This window comes from Homo sapiens, chromosome 1, assembly GCF_000001405.40.
Source record: "Homo sapiens chromosome 1, GRCh38.p14 Primary Assembly".
In the NCBI taxonomy this organism is placed as follows: Eukaryota; Metazoa; Chordata; class Mammalia; order Primates; family Hominidae; genus Homo; species Homo sapiens.
In genome coordinates this window covers 232,464,717-232,483,200 of record NC_000001.11, presented here as the reverse complement: position 1 = coordinate 232,483,200, position 18,484 = coordinate 232,464,717, and the positions used below count along the sequence as shown (strand labels likewise).

The following is an 18,484-nucleotide window of genomic DNA, read 5'->3' as shown; positions in this document are numbered from 1 at the left end:
GACACCTACTAGCTGTACAGTGGCGGATTGACTGACCAATCCAAAACATGGGCTTTATGCCCTCCTAGGATGCATGAATTTGTCTAATATCTACACATAGATAATCATGTTTCTCATGATGTCTGTAAGTTCTATATATTTTATCTTTGTGCTGTTATTTAGTTGCTATGAGTATCTGAAATAGCAGGCAGAGTAATTTGATGCATATTGGAAAATTCTGCTTATTATCAAACAACTAAGTGCTTGCTCTTTGAACGAAAAGAGATGAACAGATAGTCTAAACTTGGAGGATCTGAAGGAGCTTCTTGCCCCAACTCCCAGTAGGAATGGTGAAGTGGAAGTTTTCTGTGTGGGAGCGTCAGGGTGTGGCCGAGCTGGGATTGGAACTGAGGTGGCCTGATGCCGTGTCTTCCTGCCTTCTATTCTCCTTGGTCACCAAGCCCTGTCCCCAAGTCTGCTCAACTTGGGACTGTCACTGATACTCCATCTGGATGAGGGTGGTGCCTATAGTCAGTTCTGTTTTTAGACCTGTTTTTGAAAGTAGCAGTTACAGGATAGTTCACAAGCCTCTGCGATGGTGTAAACTCACACATGGGCCCCCTAGTTGTCCACTACACACGCCAGGGCTGGAGTTTGACTGTTACATTATATGTATAATGCCCATGCCTCAGACATAATTCATGGTACCCAAAATATGAATATCTATATATTTTAAGAAAGACGAATGAGACCTTTTCTGATTTTCTTTTTTTTTTTTCAAACTCCTCTTTTCTGCAAACAACCATTCACCCCCTAGAGATGCTGATATTCTGTCCTTAAGGATGTCCCTCCAGGAAAACCACTGCTGATGTGAACTCTTATTACTGTGATTGTGTGTTGTCTCTCTTCAGTGAATTGGACTGAGAAAACATTTAAAGAATTTCTGATCTGTGTCACCTGTAAAACTACAACGTAGATAATCCAAGTATTTTCCTACATGTAGAATTCACATTGGCTTTGCATTTTGATGACAGAGGCCTTATCCTTGATACATTGCAGATGTAGTATTAAGCACCTTAGCTCAAGGAGATGAGAACGTAACAACTAGAGTTTGATATGTTGACTTTAATAATAAATCTGTAAGTTATTTTTATGAGCAAGGCATTCTGTGAGATGGCAAGGAAGTCTGACATTCTTTTAGTAGAGAGGAGATATGTAAGAATTAGGTATGGGAGAATGGTCAGATAAAAATTATGTCTTTCGAGGAACAGACAAAAATCTTCCTTCTAGAATTTGGGGGACTTTAGTTCTGGTTAGAAGACTTAGGTCAAATCTGGGCCTCAGATTCCTCACAAGGAAAGTTCAGGATGTTGGGCTAGAATATCTGGGATTTCCCTTTCAGCTCTGAAATGGGTTTTCTCTCTTGAACACAAAATGAAATGGGATAGGAACATAGGGGATTTGAGCCACTAAGGTGCTCTGTTAACTAGAGCAGAGTACAGAATCCCAGCCATGAAAAGCCTTTATTGAGCTAGGTGCAGAGAATGATAAAATTGATAGCCTGTATCCCTTTTTGAATAGAAATATTTATAGCAAACCCCAGAACAACAAGCCTTGTTAGTCTACATTCTCCATTACCTTGCTGATGTTTGACATAAAAACTTTCAGAATATTTAATTTTAGAAATTCCTCTTTTAGTATGGCTTGAGAAAGACATATTATTATCACATTTTAAGAAGTACTTTTCCCCCCCGCAATGCATCTTTCTTTCTTCCTTGCAATTTCCTAAATCTGAAACCTAATATCAGTCAGCATTTCTCTTTCCGAATTTGAACCACCCTGACAGCAGTGTTGTGATGGGTGTCATTGAACATACCAGGCCTTCTCATCATCCAGCCTTTGGTTTTGTCATCAGTGAGTCCATTATTCATTGAAGGAGCATCCATCCTGCCCTGAGACTGTAAACTGTGCTTGCTCACATCCAGAGCCACGTTCACTGTCAAGGTTCCGAGCCAAGAGAATTAAAATGGAATGTTACTTTCTAAGAAGTCCTTTGAAAATAACATATATGTGTTTAATAAATAGTTAAAAGGAATTTTTTTTTGGCGGGGCTGATTTATATATAACTTTTTGGATGAATATTCTCTCCATCTGTAAATTAATTTATTGGTAACTATATGTAAACACTAAGTATTCGCCTTATTCATGAAAATGCCTTTTATGAATGTCTTTTGGAGCATCTAAGAACTCTATAGGATATTTTTTCTAAAGAGTTTTCAGGTCTGTTTCTGAATTGGATATGAATATTAGAAAGACATACTACAGGGTTCAGAAAGAATATAATAAGTCCGTGAAGGTTGAATGTTTTCGTGTTTTTAAAGTAAAAATTTAGATTTTTAGATTAAAAAAAGATTAACTTAAAATGACTACTTAGAGGTTTCCCCAACAAACACAATGGAATAAATGATGTTAACAACACTGTTTCTTGTTGCTTAAAAAGTAGAGAAATAAGACTGTATAGATCAAGAATTGACAAAGAAATTGAATTCCATTTACATTTTCCTTTTTGTATATCTTTTTGTCTTCATTATCCATGTGCAAAAAGTCATTCAGAACTTTACTCCAAAATTACTTAACTATTTTATAGTCAGCAGGTTAGTTTCAATGTGTGAAACTCAATCTGAGATACTCTTATTGATAATACAGATGGAGTTTGAATTTACAAAGAATCATTCTCCTTTTCAAAAGATGAACAGTTTTATGATTAATAGGGGTTCAAATGTCATAGTTTTTTAACATATATGTCACTGGATAATATTCTGTAAGTGATCACATTCATTCTCCATATTCTTCATTCATGGGATGTATCAATGTACTTCCTGTTGAAAGAAAAAAATTAATTACATTCAGGGAAAGACATATTCAAAATAACATTTTTTGTTCTCATTTCCATATTCAATCAATCCTATTTCATTTTTCTGGGTTCTGGAAGATCAAGTGCCAAGAATAACTAAGAATTAACTGTAAAAACACACACACACACACACACACACACACACACACACACGCACACACACACACAGATGCGGCCAGGCCATCTGCCAGTTTGTCACGCCCTTCAGATAATTGCACCCAGACCTGGACCAGCTTCTCTTCTCCACTGCTCACCTGTGCACTTGGTGGCAAAAACACTTCGCTTTCAGTGGATCACCTAAATCCACACTGTGAGGGCAAGAACAGAGAAGAAAAGCGAGGAAACTAAAGGTGCAGTAGAAAGCGGTGGGGAAGGAAAGGAGCCTCTCAGTCCACAGTCCTGGAGCGGGAGTGGTAGAAACAGTGCTTGATGAAAGCTGGATGGGCAGCATCCAGATACTGGTTGGGTAGAGCTTGGTGTTTTTTGTTTTTTGTTTTTGCAACAGTAACCTTTTAAATATCGAAGCACTAATTTTGTAGCAGCTTACCTTGCTTCTGTAATTCATCTTTGTTTTCAGCTGATTCCACGGGCACGCACTCTCTCTATACCACATACAAAGACTACGAACTCATGTTCCACGTGTCAACCCTGCTTCCCTACATGCCCAACAACAGACAACAGGTATGTCCTCCCCAGCCTGGAGCTTTTTACGCTGAGTATGAAATCTGAGGTGGGCCCACTGATGATATTGATGCATGTAGAACTTGCAAAGAATCAGTGAGGGTTTTTCTTGAATAGCATTAATCATCTTTGACTCTTTGATCATTTGGAAGTATTTGGGCTTTAAAGGGCGTATTGTTGCACTTTTTTCGTATAAAACTTAGAAACTCTTCTGCACTCAGATCTATTGCTTGCTAAGCAAAATCTTTTCTCAGGAGAAACTTGTCTCAACTATATGTTAATTACGAAAAGGCCAACCGTGTTGACCTGACTTCGGTTTTTGTGTGTGGGTAAATAGCTTATTTATAGAGAATACTGTTTGCAGTTGTTACTGGTGCTATTTTCAGCTGTTCCTCTCCATTTCGTTTTTGTTGTTTTAAATGGATTTATTGGCCAAAATTTCTTGACCTTTTTAAAGAGAAAAAAATCAGAGTGCATCATGCTTTGACTACAGCCACTCAGTAAGAATTAAGAACCTTTGAAAACTTGAATGATGCATAAATCATTGTAAAATAATTTACTTTTTGGTATAACTTTGAGTCAAGCAAGTTTTTTTTGCAAAGATTACTAGAAATTATGGCCATTTTTATCTTACGCTAGAAATAGTTGAAATGCTTTGTCTACTGTGAGCTTGAGAAGACTTGGAGGATCACTTGAGATAGGAAAGGACCTACGTTTGGGATAGACGATCTATGGGATAGCTAAGGCTCCATTTCACATCTTGTTTAGAATCTTCTGGGCTCTGCCCATGTTAAGCTGAAGATTTTTTGAAGAATGTTACTGCTTGAGTTTCTGAATATTTGTTTACAGAAAGGTTTGTGAATTACTAGGATCTTATAACTGATTCATTGACATAATTTAATTTTAGGGATTTGATTGTATTTAGGTTAAATCCAGAGTTAAAGTTTGTTTTCACATTTAGGAGACAGTTCTCTGAATGTCACTTAACTGATACTCCTTTGCTCTAAATATATTAAAGCACCAAGGACTACATAGGAATAGCTCAATAGGTATTTGTCAAATGAGTGAAATTTAATTGTCACAGAGAATTTTTCCTTTTTAAAAAAGACTCATAAAAGTATATAAATTTAGTCTAATTCTGCATTTTTTCCCAAAGAGGAAACCAGCCAACTACCTCCCCTTCTCCCATCACTAGTTGGAAGAAGCCCCTTAGCCTCAGATCCTCCAGCTAGGATGAGAAAGCAGGCCTCTGACCCCCAGTCTCTTCTCATGGTAACTGCTAGCTGGATTTTCTTGCCATTTTCCATCTCATACTTATCTCAATCCCTTGTCCTTTCTGAATTTTCTAGTGTTTTCTAATAATCATAGTTCTTCCTACCACCTTCAAAAAATCTATCTCTGTATTACACATCTGTGTATTTTTAAGCATAGACTTAAAATCACTAGATCACATGTATGTATTTATGTATATTTTAACCTAAGGGATTTTAGCTCTCAAGAATTTATTTGCAATAATGCCGAGCAGATTCACTGGATCTTAAGAGGCTTAATTTAGACCAGGACAGTTGTCCAGCAAATACTTGTGAATCATTCAGTAATTAAACTCTGTGGGAGTTGTTGCTCAGAAAACTGATAGGGGTTACTCAAGCCAAGAAAATCTGTCAGTACGTTAGCAGAAATAGAGCCAGTGACTTTTGACCCCCGTCATCGAGTATTCAAACCACAAAGCCTTTCCAGTTCCCTGATTACTTGAGTCATTGGACTTCAGGCTGAATTGGCCCTGGCATTTCACATGTGGCAACCTCCAGAGATTTGAAGTCTTTGCTTTTACCACAACTCAAAACTGGCTTTCCCACCCCCTTTCATTGAAGCGTAATCAAAATCTGTAGGCATTCGAGTTTTATGTACCTGACTTCATTTCACTGAAACTAGCCTTGAAAAAATTGTATGCGCAAAAATCAGGACAGCAAAGCAGTGAAAATGTAGATGCAACTGGGGGATAGAGGAGGATGTGTGTGTGTTAAACTTCCCCAACTGGAAAGTAAAAGAAAAGTCCCTGTAAGTTGAGGCTATACATTCCAAACTCGAGAAAGCTGGGATTTGTATCTGTTTTGTTCCCTGAAGTGTCCCTGTGTGCCCAGAACAGTATCCAGAACATGGTAAGAAGTCAACAAACATTTGTTGAATGAATAATGAATGAATGAGTGAACCTTTCTTAGGAGATAGAGAATTAGGCAAATTAATGCATGTAAAGCACTTAAAATAGTTCCAGGCATGGAACTAAGTTTTAGTTGTTACTGTTTTATAATTCATTAGATATAGAGCCAGTCATATTTTGGATGACCTAATTTGCATTTTATTTTCCTGTCTCCAGTCCTAAAGATCTATTATGAAAAACTAAGACTCTGAATGGTTAAGAAAGTGAGAGACTAAATTTATCAATTATTTCAGAAAATTATTTTTTGACATTTAATATTTTGCAATCACAGGTTGTCATCAGAATGTTCTGTTTGTGGATAAATAATGCCACTTGCAATCTGGGGACATGTGTTTTCCAAATTTGTTAATGAGTTGTATTGACTCCATTTCTCTCACCCTCACCATCCATGCCCACAAATTATGTTAATACCAAAGGTAGAAATGTCTGAAATGACCAGCTGGGTTCATGAGTGCAATTTGAAGCCACAGGACTTAGCAAAGTTAACTGGCCCCTACATGAATTGTGCCTGTAACCTTGGCTTCTTACACTACAGTTGGTGACCATTTAACTGGTCCAGACTCGTCCACATCAGATCTAATTTCTTGTGTTCCTTCTTGTAATAAATCAAGCTGGATGCCAATTCCAAGATGTATTAAAAGTCTTCAGAGAGTTTACCACAGTTGCAAAAGAGCTTTAATCTTTGGAATGGTCTCTGACTCTTGCGTAGAAAAACTCACCAGACCAAAAGAATGATAAGAAACCCTGCTCTTGGAGTTATTTTCTCTCTTCAAAAGTTAAGTCCTGCAAGTCTCTCTGCATCTGTCTGGCAGTCCATCCACTTTTTCCAGGGCTGTCTTCCCCTGTGTGCTTTCCTTCTGCTTGCCCTGGAGACAAGTCATGGTTAAGCCATCGTGGGATGTCATCAGTGGGAAGAGCTTCACAAATTAGCTTTAAACTTCACTTTGGCAACGAAATTCTTTCTTCAAAGTAGTCATATAAAGTAGAGGTGCCTCAGTGCCTGGCACACAGTAACCTATTTTTTAATGTATGCGTAACATTTTAGCTGCTGTGTTGGGAAGGGGTACCTGACGCCTCGTGGAGGTATCTAATGAGTAAGACCAAGCCCCTAGGTTTCTGAGATGCTAATTAAAGGATACTGGTCTTCCTCTAGTAATGGGCTTGACACCAAAGAGGTAATGATGTTGTATTTGGGCTAAGCCTGGAGCCCTTTTCTCCATAGTGGATAGACTGATTGTAAGCTCCTGCCTTAAAGAGTTTGTGTACTTCCTTAAGTCCCTAGTTGGTGTTGCTAAGGACTCATGTAAATACTGGAACAACCTACCTCACTAAGTGCGATGAGCCTTGGGTCCTGCCTATACTTGGGTTCACCTATACATAATACTATAGAATATTTTGGAAGGATAAAATGCTTACTTAGCTTTCCATGAGTAGCTTTATTCCCAGACCCTAAGTAGGAGCATATACTTATACTATATCACAAAGATTGTTACTTAGAGTGAGGGTTGGTATTGCCTAGTGACAGAAAGAAGAAAGAGACATTTATATCTTCATAATCCTGTTATCATCTTTACTTTGTTATGAAGTCATTAAAGATCTGCATTCTTAGATTATTTTGTTTCTTCCTTTGCAAAGTGTTCAATATTTCTTAATTCGTTTGTACATTTGCTCTTGTTATTGGTAAAATATCATAATTATATGAAATGATAAATCAGTGAGAAATCCTTCAAACATTAATTAAATGTAATATCCTGTTCTTGCCCATCAGAAATGAGAACAGTTCACTAACATTCACTTTTTTGCAGGAGGTGGGTGAGACTTTTCTTTCTTTTGTATTTATGTGGTAAGGTGTATATGTTGCCCTTCCTTAGTTATTATTTAGAATGCTTTTCTACATTAACTTTTTCCGTAGGAAACTCTATACGCCTCTTAAAAATCAAGGCATAATTCTAACTACTGGTGCAAACTCTTGAGTATAGTTTATATGAGGGGATATGTGTGTTTATGTACATGCATATGTATGTATAAGTGCAAAATTAGGGCCATCTCCCTAAAAGAGGAAAAGCCAACCCTCTGGGTGAAGGGGAGGAGCTTTCCAGGCAAGAGATTAGGAACTGCAAAGTTCCTTGGGTGGGAACCAGTTGTTCTGTAGGAGGGACAAGACGCTGTCTATATGGTAAGGAGCAGGTGATGAGGTCGGAGAGGTAGGAAGGGATCAGTCATGTCAGAGGAGTCTTTGTCAGCCCCCTTTTTAGTAACAGGATTTAGATTCAAACTCAAGGACCAGGACTGAGAACTTGTGTGCGTTTAGAGAATATGGATTTGCTTCTTTCTAAAGACCTTCTCTGGAGACCTGCAGATGACCTTCCTCTTCTCTGACTCTTATGAGCTTCTGAATCATATCCCGGCTGTTCTCTTTCATGTTGTACAGCCTGCTTTCCCCCAGCATTGGGTGCAAAACAGTTTGTTTCTGTCTTACTGGGTTTAAAATAATAATTTAACAAATGAACCCATATACATAGAGGCTAGCAGATACTGTCTAATTCAGCTTTCATTTTTCACCCAAGTGTGCTGTCTGATACTTATTTTCACTTCCTGGCTTTTTTCTTCTCAGTTTGCTTTTTGAGTTTTTTCCTCTCGTTAAAATTTTTTTTTTTACTGATATATAATAGTTGTACATATTTTGGGGTTACACGCTGTATTTTGATACCTGCATACAATGTGTATTGATCACATCAGAGTAATTGGCATATCTGTTACCACAAACACTTATCTTTGTGTTGAGAACATTTCAAATTTTTTTGCAGCTGCTTTGAAATACACAATAAATTGCTGCTAATGACAGTTTCCCTACTGTACTGTCGAATAATTAGAACATACTCCTTCTATCTTACTGTATTTTTGCACTAAGTTAAAACTGGTCTTGTGAGATACTGGTTTGTTTAAGGAACTGAGGCTAAACCTACGGCCATATATGGTATTTCTGTAGCATCTATATGCTTTTGCCATGGAATTGGGTGAAGACTCACATTTTCTCTTTCCTTGTCATAACAAGAGCTTATTCCTGTTTCACAGCTGGAATCGAGTGTTAGAAATTTAGTAGAAATGACTATGTAAATCTATCTAATACAATATTTATTAACTCACTGTTGCAGTTGAAGACACTAATAAGTTGGTTCTCTTGACATCACTGAAAATTGTCATTAGCTTTACATACCTAGAAAGAAGTTCGCCCCAGAAGATGTCATTCCTACAATTCCCTCAAACAAATAGTACCGTCAGGTTTTGCCAGCCTGCGTTCGTTTGTGGTTTGCCATCCCTTTTCCCCATTCACAGACTCTGATTGTATAGAATTTCATTGACCAGTTAGAAAAAAGCATAAACTAAATACTAAAGAAAACATTTGCCTTTAAGAAGTTCAAGAAATTACTTATTTCATGTTTGACAAAGTCCTAAAACAGAAAAATGAATAATATTTCTGTTAATTTTCCAGATATTTTCTTTAGTCTCTGAAGCAAATTCAAGCATTCTATTAATGGATAGTGTTCATTTTTCTTATTATATTCTCCTTCAAAGAGCTTTAGATTTTACCCTTCCTAATGAATCTTCTTGTTCCCGCCTCCAATCGTTTATTTTTTTCTACAAAGTGCATTATGTGGCCATGGTTAAATTAACTAGACTTTTGAAAACATTTTTTGGCCCATTTTACAAAGCAAAAGAATGTGTCTAGAAAGGGACAACAGTGGTTTGGCATGTTGTCAAGGTAACCAGACTTTAACTTGTGCTTTAACTTGTGCTTTAAATAGTCCTGTGGTGAAGTATAGAATCAGACCCATCATGTTCCTTCAGGAGGAAAAGAAATTGGATAGGAATAACTGTGCAATTTGCTGTTGCAGTCTCAACAGCCATGAAGCACTGACTAACAAGGCCCTCCCTGCACCCTGTGTTTAATGGAGAGGGCTGGCCAACATGAAGCCACACCGGCAATCACTCAGGAAGTAGGAGGCGCTGAACTCACTGCCTGGCCTTGGCCAAAGTGAGCTCCATCTTTTGACAGTCTGAGAATTCCTGTGTTTCAAGGGCACTGAATAAACTAGAGTATGAACTGCTGTGTTTTGTAGTCTACAGATACATTGAACACAATGATGGGCATATTTTTAAAAACTATTCCTGATTTTTCCTTGTCTCATTACAATGCCTATGAATCATGTATTTCAATTTTTGGAGAAAAGAGTAAAGAATGTCCTTGCCAAAGATAGTTTTCACTGATTATTTACATGCATTTGAAATGGCACATTTTAAATATCTAGCAAACTTTTTAAAAACTACATATTTAAATGAGGTGGCTCATTGGGTCTGTATTATGATGTACTAATGTATGTTTCCAGACTTCACTCAGACAGTAAGATGATTTTTGTGTGTTTATAACTTTGACCATGGGGATTTAAGTAGGAATTTCTCAGCATATGAATCAGCAGTTTAACTGGCCTGTAGAAAACTCTGAAAGAATGAACATTTCATTCCCACTTTTCCAGGCCTTTTATCATGCTAAATCACAAGTCAGGGACCTGACAATGAAATCCTTTTTGTATCTGAGTTTAAAAGGCTTTAAAAGTTGAACTTAATGGTCTTTACTTGGAATATGCGCTGTAGGTGCCAAATAAATTTAAGGGTAAGGTCGTGGTCTTTCATATTGCTAGTAAAAAGAGATTTACTATCTGAGATTGTCACATTCCAGCAATGACATCACCAAGTTGTGTAAGGATTGTTGTATGTATTAAAACTGAAGATCACAAACTTTTGAGAGCACAAATCTATGCCTTCACTTGCATAAGCTTACCGAGTGCCTTTATGTGGATTTATTGGCATGTGTTCATAGGAAAGAAGTGGTCACAATTTTAATGCATAATGTGATGTGTCAGTAAGTGTATATTTGGATTATTTATTTGTTAAACAAATGTGTATTGGGTACCTCCTTTGCCTGGCACACCATTAGAAACTAGGAAACTGAAAGTCAGTATGACACTTCTGTGCCCTCATGAAGGTTATGACCTGATGCAGAAGAAGTAAACCAACCATTAGGAGACAGTACAACAACCAGTGTAATAGAAATAGGCCCGGGAAATAGGAAGTTTCTTTCAGATGAAATGGGATCTACAGAGACAACTGCATTGTCTGGGAGAAACCTGGAGGGAAGGGGGCATTCTTGGCAGAAGGAACATCAAAAGTAAAGGCGTTGGTCAAGTGTTACTGCTCTGAGCATCATTCCCCCTGCCAGATTTGTGATTTATAAAATTACAAATGATTGGGCTTCTGGTTATTAATCCAGTTGAATTCTGTGTTTCTGAATTGCATTTTAAACGGCCAGGGTTCAGTTAATTGGTTTGTATTATTGCTCACCAGAATGACAGTGTTCTGTATTTTTGTTGCAGAAATGCACGTTACTTTACTGTGGGAGCACAGGATACAAGCTGAAGCCCGCCGGTGTGATAGTGTAGGACTTTTCAGCAAACCTGTACCCTCTCTTGGACTTTGTCGTCTAGAGCTTAAACTACAACATTTCTCAAAGTGTTGTGAGCTCTAACATGCTATTATTTTAGGGGTTTAAAAAGAGGAACTGGATAAAGACCAAAAGGAGAGAGAGTACAAATTGAATTTTAAAATAAAAGAGATAAACTTAAATATTTAGGCTTTTCTTTCCACGGGTCTTTTGGATGAAGCCCATTTTGCTTTTTCTATGCCAAATTTAGGAGCACTGACTTCCAAAGAATGACTGTGCTTTTTAAAAATCACTCCTTCAAATTGAAAGATGAGTGAATTATATATATATTTTGTTTTAAAGAAAAACTTATTTGTAACTCTTCACTTTCTTGACCACAGCTACTGAGGAAAAGGCACATAGGAAATGACATCGTCACCATCGTCTTCCAGGAGCCTGGGGCACTTCCTTTTACTCCAAAAAGCATCCGGTCTCACTTTCAGCATGTCTTTGTCATAGTCAAAGTGCATAATCCATGTACCGAAAATGTGTGTTATAGGTGAGTCAGTCATCCCTGATCTATCATTCTCCCAGGTTTATTTCAACAGGGCGTCTTTTCCCAAAAATATCTTTGTTTGCCAATTATTATTTGCAACTTTGTGATTTTCTAATTACTCAGACACTTTCTGTAAGAAATAATTGCCTTCTTCCCATTTTATCCCCTTGAAAAAGTGAAATGCCTAGCACTTTAAAATGGTGGATTACACATTTCCTCTGTTTTTCTCCTAAAAACTTGAGCCAGAATCAATAGCTTAATTGGTATCCTCCTCTGAGTTGGATGAAGTGGCTGGTTAAGTGCTTATCTAGGAGAAGTAAGTATAGTGGCAGTAAAACATTTCTTTTCATCAAAGATCTTGGATCTTTGCAGGGCTGCTGAAACAAGAGGTTAACACTTGTTGGGTGACTTCAAAAGGCCACATGCGTGCCTTGGAATCCCAAGACTGGCTCTGACAAGGCCTGCTTTTATACTTAACCACTACTCTCAGACTCTGTCTTAGGAAATCTTAGGGAATAACTGCAGCCAAATGATCATATCATGTGGGGTATTGGTAAAACAATGGGTCTTTGACCAGAGTTTGAAACCAGCTTTACCACTTATCATAGGGCTTTGTGTGGCTTACTTTATTTTTCTTAACATTTGATTCCTCATCTTAAAATTGAAGATAATGGTAATGATAGTACCTACTTCAGTATGTTGTTATGATGAATAAATAGCTTAAATTATGTAAAACACCTATTGGAGTTCCTGACATTCATCCAAGATTATTTTCATTTATCATCTTAAAGCAGTAGTTGCCAATTCAGCTGCCCACTGGGCCTAGTTCAGAGACACGACTATTCCTTGTAAGAAAGTGAAGACTACAGAGCTTGCTTCCTAAAGGCACAAGAGAAATTAGTCTGTATTTGAGAAGTTGCCATTTTACATCCCACCCTACAGATGCCCAAGCCATCTTAGAACAAAGTCTGAAAACCATCAGTTCTTACCCTGAATTTTACTTCCCAGTCGCCTTATTAAACATAGCCCTAGTCTATGGCTCTACTGTGCTGTGTTCTAATGCAGTACACCTGTCATCTCTATACTTCCCTCCATAGTCATTCTTACGCACATCTGGGTTTCAGACCACTGGCCTAAATGCTCAGAACTACTTTTTAAAAGTGATATTTGAAAGAATATAGTATCTACTCTATACAAATGATAGGCTTAAAATAGATAATATTGGTACAAACCTGGTGAGTTGGCCTTTTTTTCCTGGGAGCTCATCCAGCGAATGGTAATTCTGAAGAATAAAATGAACCTTCCTAATTGGATTGGGAAAACTGAAGTATAAGGCTTTATCGTATTGTATTTGGTGTTATTTTATGGGTGGCTATTTTTAGGTCAAATGGAGTACTTTAAATTACTTGCTATCTTTATGCTTATATCATGAGGTAATTCATTAGCACAAAAAATTGTAAAGATAGGCAATACCTGTTCAATTTATTTCTTTTAGGTTTTCCGGTTTTAATTAAACAACTCTGTTTAATTAAAAAACTGAGTTGTTTAATTAAAACCAGAAAACCTAAAAGAAATAAATGTTTTTGAATCTAATTAAATGTTTTGAATGTATTTAATTAATGTTTTTGAAAACACCACAGAGATCTCTTACATATAACAAAGTACATTGCCTTATTTTTTCTGTGATAAAGATACCATATGCCAATCATTCAGAGATGGAGTCATTGGTTTTTAAGAAACCACATTGTTATTACTAAATTAACCTTTACTAATGAGATTCAAATGCAACATCAGTTCAAGTGCCTAACATTTTTGGAAGTGCCTCATCAGCTTCGTTGATCTTGCTTAAAAACATCACTAGTATTTCTTGAAGAATCAATAATAATCTTGAGTAATCCTGTAGTCACATGAATTCCATAACATTTTATGAAGCTGTCCTTACTCTATCTCATGAAATAAGGTTGGCATGCCCACATTTTCTAAAAACACCTTATTGGTCTGTTTCATGTGATACTCCTCTAAATATTCCAATGGAGAAATAAATTCATTAAAATAATTTCCAAGGAAATGGTATAGTCCAGCTCTACAGTTTTCTTAAATTTTGCTATGTCCTAATCCAGAGTGGCAAGCTCCCGTGAAAGCTGTTTTTCTCCTGAGCTTTTTTCGGGTGTTGAGTGGCAGCGTATTCTTGCTGACGCGGACCCACGGTACCAATGCCAATTCATAGGCCTTACAGCTGTCAGAAGGGGCTGTGCGGTTGAGATCACCTTCTCTAATGAAAATCGTGCAGCCTGTCAGGTGTACCTGCCTGAGCAGAAGACCACACTCCCACCCTACAGAGGGAGTCAGGCCTCCCCCATGAGCGCAGCAGAATGCTCGAGCAGTTATGCTGGGTCCACTGGAACTAGGAGAAATGAGGCAACACCCCCAGAGCCCCACGAAACATCTCACTTTCAGCCTGAAAATATTTAAAAAGCAGACATAACAAATTGCCTATTTCTTTATAAAAGACTCTTTAATTTGTAGCTAATGTTAAGCTGTCAGGGATTTATGTTTTTATGTACTTTCCAAGATAAACTCTCTGCAAAATGCTCAGTAACGGAATGAGAGAAGTCTTGGTAGCTAAGAGTGAATTAAAAGTGGAGAGATACCTATAGAAAATGATGACTGCCATTTTTTAGAAAATCTAATATGTAACATCTTCTGACAAAAATTAGGTGACAGGGTTAAATCATTTATTAACACAACAACTATGATAGTAATAGTGACAGTAACAGCAACAATTTGGGTAATAAAAGCTTTACATGCATTATTTTCTATCATCCTTACAATGGGCTTTTGGGTATGATACTATTTTACCGTCCATTTTACAGATGAGGGCAGGGAGGCACTGAAGGATTAGTGTAGTTAGCTCAGTCACTCAGGAGGTGGTAGAGCTGGACTCCCTGACTCCGGGAGTTACCTGACTCCAGTTTGCTCCTCACACCTTTCTTTATTGTCCTTTGGCCAGCAGGCCTTGTTAAAACCCTTTCATGTGCATATTAAGGAATGCTTATCTTTCTGTTTGCTTTTGCTGGAGGGGCCTTAAATATCTAAGGCCCCTAAATCATTAATAAATGCTATCGAGTTATTTGGGTGAAATAAGGAGCTCTGATGTAAGTTCTCGTTTCCACACAATGGGAATTATCTGAATCTGGCAAAAGAATATTTCTTCTGAACTTGACTCTACTTGAAATGTTAAGGATCCTATGAGCTTTTGTAACCAAGGGTCTCTAATTGATTCCCATACCCAGAATATCATAACAATCATGGAATAGCCATGCTTACATTCTGCTGGTTTTCTTGTACAACTTTGAGATGTGCAAGAATACAGTTTATTGAACAAGAATATGGCATACATTGTACAGAGAATCTGCAATTAGATATTAGGGTCTATAATTGGATACACAAAAAATTTCCCTACTATATAATGGAGTCACCATGTCTCTCTTATTTACTATGTGACACCACAGTGGAGCATATTTAGATAACAAGAAATTTCCCCTGACATTGTAGCTTAAGTGCATGCAAGCTGCACTCAGAGGGTAGCATGAGATCTACAGAGTTAATGCAAAGAAGTAATGCACTGGAGTGCCAGATGACATTTGGCCGCCTCAGCGTTCCATGGGTAAAATACTGCTAGAAATCTGTACTCACTGTTGAAAGAGAGAACCAAATTTAGGAGCGGTGATACATTGGTTTATCGTACCCAATATTTGCAGGGCAGGTTGCAGTGCACAGAGAGACCCTTTGAGCTCATTGACAGCGTAGAGAAGAGAAGCCACAGGATGTGGTTAGACTAATCACAAGTCCAAACAGGTAGCTTTAAGACCACTCTCCCAGAGTTAACATGGGGGATTGTGGGGGATAAATTAATTCCCAGTCTAGAATGGCCATCCTGAGGATGGTGGTGAGGGGAAAATGGGCCACACCTGATGTAGATCCCTGGCAGTGTCAACCTCTGTGATGTTTTTAAGGACCTTTCCTTCATTTAAGCCCGTAAGTCAAGTTCCCACACACACATACCCTCTGGTATGGTATATATACTACCATAAAGCACCACTAGGTGCTATTGATGAGTTCGGTGTATCTGTCCCAAAGCAAAGCAGTCATTGCTTCCCTTTCATATCAGTGAAGGACCCATCTAGCCACCTGTCTGTCTTGCCGCTACAGGTGATTAACTCTGCTGAAGAGGTTGCAGATTAAAGCACAAGTTAGCCTGCGATTTTTCTAAAGTCTAACCAACCACATTTCAGAAGAGGAGTTTGCATCTGACAGAACAAATTTGGATGGAATGTTTTTATTCCTTAATTTACCTTTTTTAGAATTTTCCACAATGATGAAAACAAAACAAAGATTGCTTCCTTTCTTTACTCCAACATCAGCCTGGGCAGATGTGGGATTAATACAGATTCTTGGTCTGTGGTAGCTACTCAGTAATTGGGGTGCTCTCAATGCTGCCAGTGATACAGAATCCATTCATTCACTTACTCGTCTTAATCTTTCCTTTGTTTTTTTGTTTTTGTTTCTGTTTTTGTTTTTTTGAGACGGAGTCTTGCTTTGTCGCCCAGGCTGGAGTGCAGTGGCGTGATCTCGGCTCACTGCAAGCTCCGCCTCCGAGGTTCACACCATTCTCCTTCCTCAGCCTCCTGAGTAGCTGGGACTACAGGCGCCCGCCACCACGCCCGGCTAATTTTTTTGTATTTTTAATAGAGACGGGGTTTCACCGTGCTAGCTAGGATGGTCTCAATCTCCTGACCTCATGATCCACCCGCTTCGACCTCCCAAAGTGCTGGGATTACAGGCATGAGCCACCGCACCTGGCCAGTCCTTCCTTTGTTAATTCATTAGTCCACTGTATAATTTATCTTATGCAGAAAAGGATATGAGATAACTAAAGCAACTCTCTGATGTAGGGGAGCGTTATTGGTTTTAATAGATTACAATGCTCGTTATTAACACTATGCATTTGATCTCTTCAGTCCCTGAGATCCCTTAAAACTTTGCTCCCATAAAACCTTCATTTAGATTTTCAAAATGTGATCAAGTAAAGTGAGCATTTCCTTTAAAAAAGTGACACTTAAAACTTTTGGCTCTTGTAAGTATGATCACTCTGTCCCACGTCACTGAATCCCATGCAGCTAACGTGGGCTAAACCCACTTTGGTCAGAAGAGCTACTGTTTCTCCCAGTGATAACCAGCCCCACAGAGTTATAGAGTGCCAGCCTGCTTATTCCACATGCTGTGGATGTGTTACCCCCTGTATTAGTTTGGTAGCACTGCCGTACTAATGCCACAGGCTAGGTGGCTTAAACGGCAGACTTTTATTTTCTCAGAGTTCTAGAGGCTGGAAGTCTAAGATCAAGGTGTCAGCAAGGATTGGTTTCTCCTGAGACCTCTCCCCTTGGCTTATGGATGGCCGTCTTCTCCTTGTGTCTTCACATGGTCTTCTTTCTGTGTGCATACATCCCTGGTGTCTCTTTGTAAGCCCAAATTTTCTCCTCTTATAAGGACACCAGTCAGTTGGATTAGGGCCCACCCGAATGGTTTCACTTAGCCACCTCCTTAAGGGTCCTTTCTCCAGATTGCGTCACATTCCCAGGAACTATGGGTTATCTTGTCAACGTGTGGATTTTGAGAGGGACATAATTCAGCCCATTACACCTCCTGTCTACTAAGTTTAAAGCATTTTGCTTAAACAACAATAACAACAAACCCTGGGTATGCAGCAATTAGGAGAACAAGAACTTGCAGAATAAACCAGTTAAGTTGAAAGTGTGTGTGTATGTGTGTATGTATATGTGTGTGTGTGTGTGTATGTATATGTGTGTGTGTGTGTATATATATGTCAAATTCGGAAAGATACATATTATGGTATCATAGCTCATCTCATTTTGTTTCTGTTTTTACTTCCTCAGTGTTGGAGTTTCCAGATCAAAAGATGTGCCACCATTTGGCCCACCGATTCCCAAAGGTGTAACTTTTCCAAAGTCAGCCGTGTTCCGGGACTTCCTTTTAGCCAAAGTAATCAATGCAGAAAATGCAGCCCATAAATCAGAAAAGTTTCGAGCAATGGCCACTCGAACGAGGCAGGAGTACTTGAAAGATCTGGCGGAGAACTTTGTCACAACCGCCACCGTGGATACCTCTGTGAAGTTCAGCTTCATTACGCTGGGTGCGAAGAAAAAGGAGAAGGTAAAGCCAAGGAAGGATGCCCACTTGTTTAGCATTGGGGCCATCATGTGGCACGTGATAGCCCGGGACTTCGGCCAGTCTGCTGACATTGAATGTCTTCTCGGGATCTCCAATGAGTTCATCATGTTGATTGAAAAGGATTCCAAGAATGTTGTATTCAACTGTTCCTGCAGGGATGTGATTGGGTGGACATCTGGATTAGTGAGTATCAAAGTGTTTTACGAAAGAGGAGAATGTGTCCTCCTGTCCTCGGTAGACAACTGTGCTGAAGACATCAGGGAAATTGTTCAGCGATTAGTAGTAAGTACATGTTTTCTATTTTCCCGCCATCCTTATGTTTTCAATTCCAGATTCAAAATAACTTTCACTGGGGAACTGCTACCATGATTATACCAATTAGGGAATGCATTACTATTTGTTACA

The 18,484-nt window shown here is 38.5% G+C and overlaps 1 protein-coding gene across 11 annotated transcripts in view, besides 4 other annotated features; it reads left to right on the top strand.

Moving 5' to 3' along the window:
- Window positions 1-18,484, top strand: part of SIPA1L2 (signal induced proliferation associated 1 like 2) — a 232,532-nt gene that overhangs the window by 147,296 nt on the left and 66,752 nt on the right. For all 11 annotated transcript variants that reach the window (NM_001377488.1, XM_017001896.2, XM_047426142.1 and 8 more), the window contains 3 exons: window positions 3,471-3,574; window positions 11,673-11,830; window positions 17,785-18,361. In NM_001377488.1, the coding sequence (NP_001364417.1) occupies window positions 3,471-3,574; window positions 11,673-11,830; window positions 17,785-18,361 (839 nt within the window). The remainder of the gene's footprint in view (window positions 1-3,470; window positions 3,575-11,672; window positions 11,831-17,784; window positions 18,362-18,484) is intronic.
- Window positions 4,669-4,871: a silencer, noted in NCBI's record as "fragment chr1:232614076-232614278 (GRCh37/hg19 assembly coordinates)". NCBI's record gives its function as "represses an EF-1alpha promoter that drives an FKBP-Casp9 reporter gene in an ReSE screen in K562 erythroleukemia cells {active_cell/tissue: K562}" and the evidence as "EXISTENCE:reporter gene assay evidence [ECO:0000049][PMID:32094911]".
- Window positions 8,437-8,606: an enhancer, noted in NCBI's record as "experimental_6156 CRE fragment used in MPRA reporter constructs". NCBI's record gives its function as "activates a minimal promoter by MPRAs in K562 erythroleukemia cells, with activity observed for both the introgressed and non-introgressed 1:232610426 variant alleles {active_cell/tissue: K562}" and the evidence as "EXISTENCE:reporter gene assay evidence [ECO:0000049][PMID:34662402]".
- Window positions 14,537-15,098: an enhancer, noted in NCBI's record as "NANOG hESC enhancer chr1:232603849-232604410 (GRCh37/hg19 assembly coordinates)". NCBI's record gives its function as "activates a minimal SCP1, AML or CMV promoter by ChIP-STARR-seq in naive H9 embryonic stem cells {active_cell/tissue: H9 hESC(naive)}" and the evidence as "EXISTENCE:reporter gene assay evidence [ECO:0000049][PMID:30033119]".
- Window positions 15,712-15,881: an enhancer, noted in NCBI's record as "experimental_6136 CRE fragment used in MPRA reporter constructs". NCBI's record gives its function as "activates a minimal promoter by MPRAs in K562 erythroleukemia cells, with activity observed for both the introgressed and non-introgressed 1:232603151 variant alleles {active_cell/tissue: K562}" and the evidence as "EXISTENCE:reporter gene assay evidence [ECO:0000049][PMID:34662402]".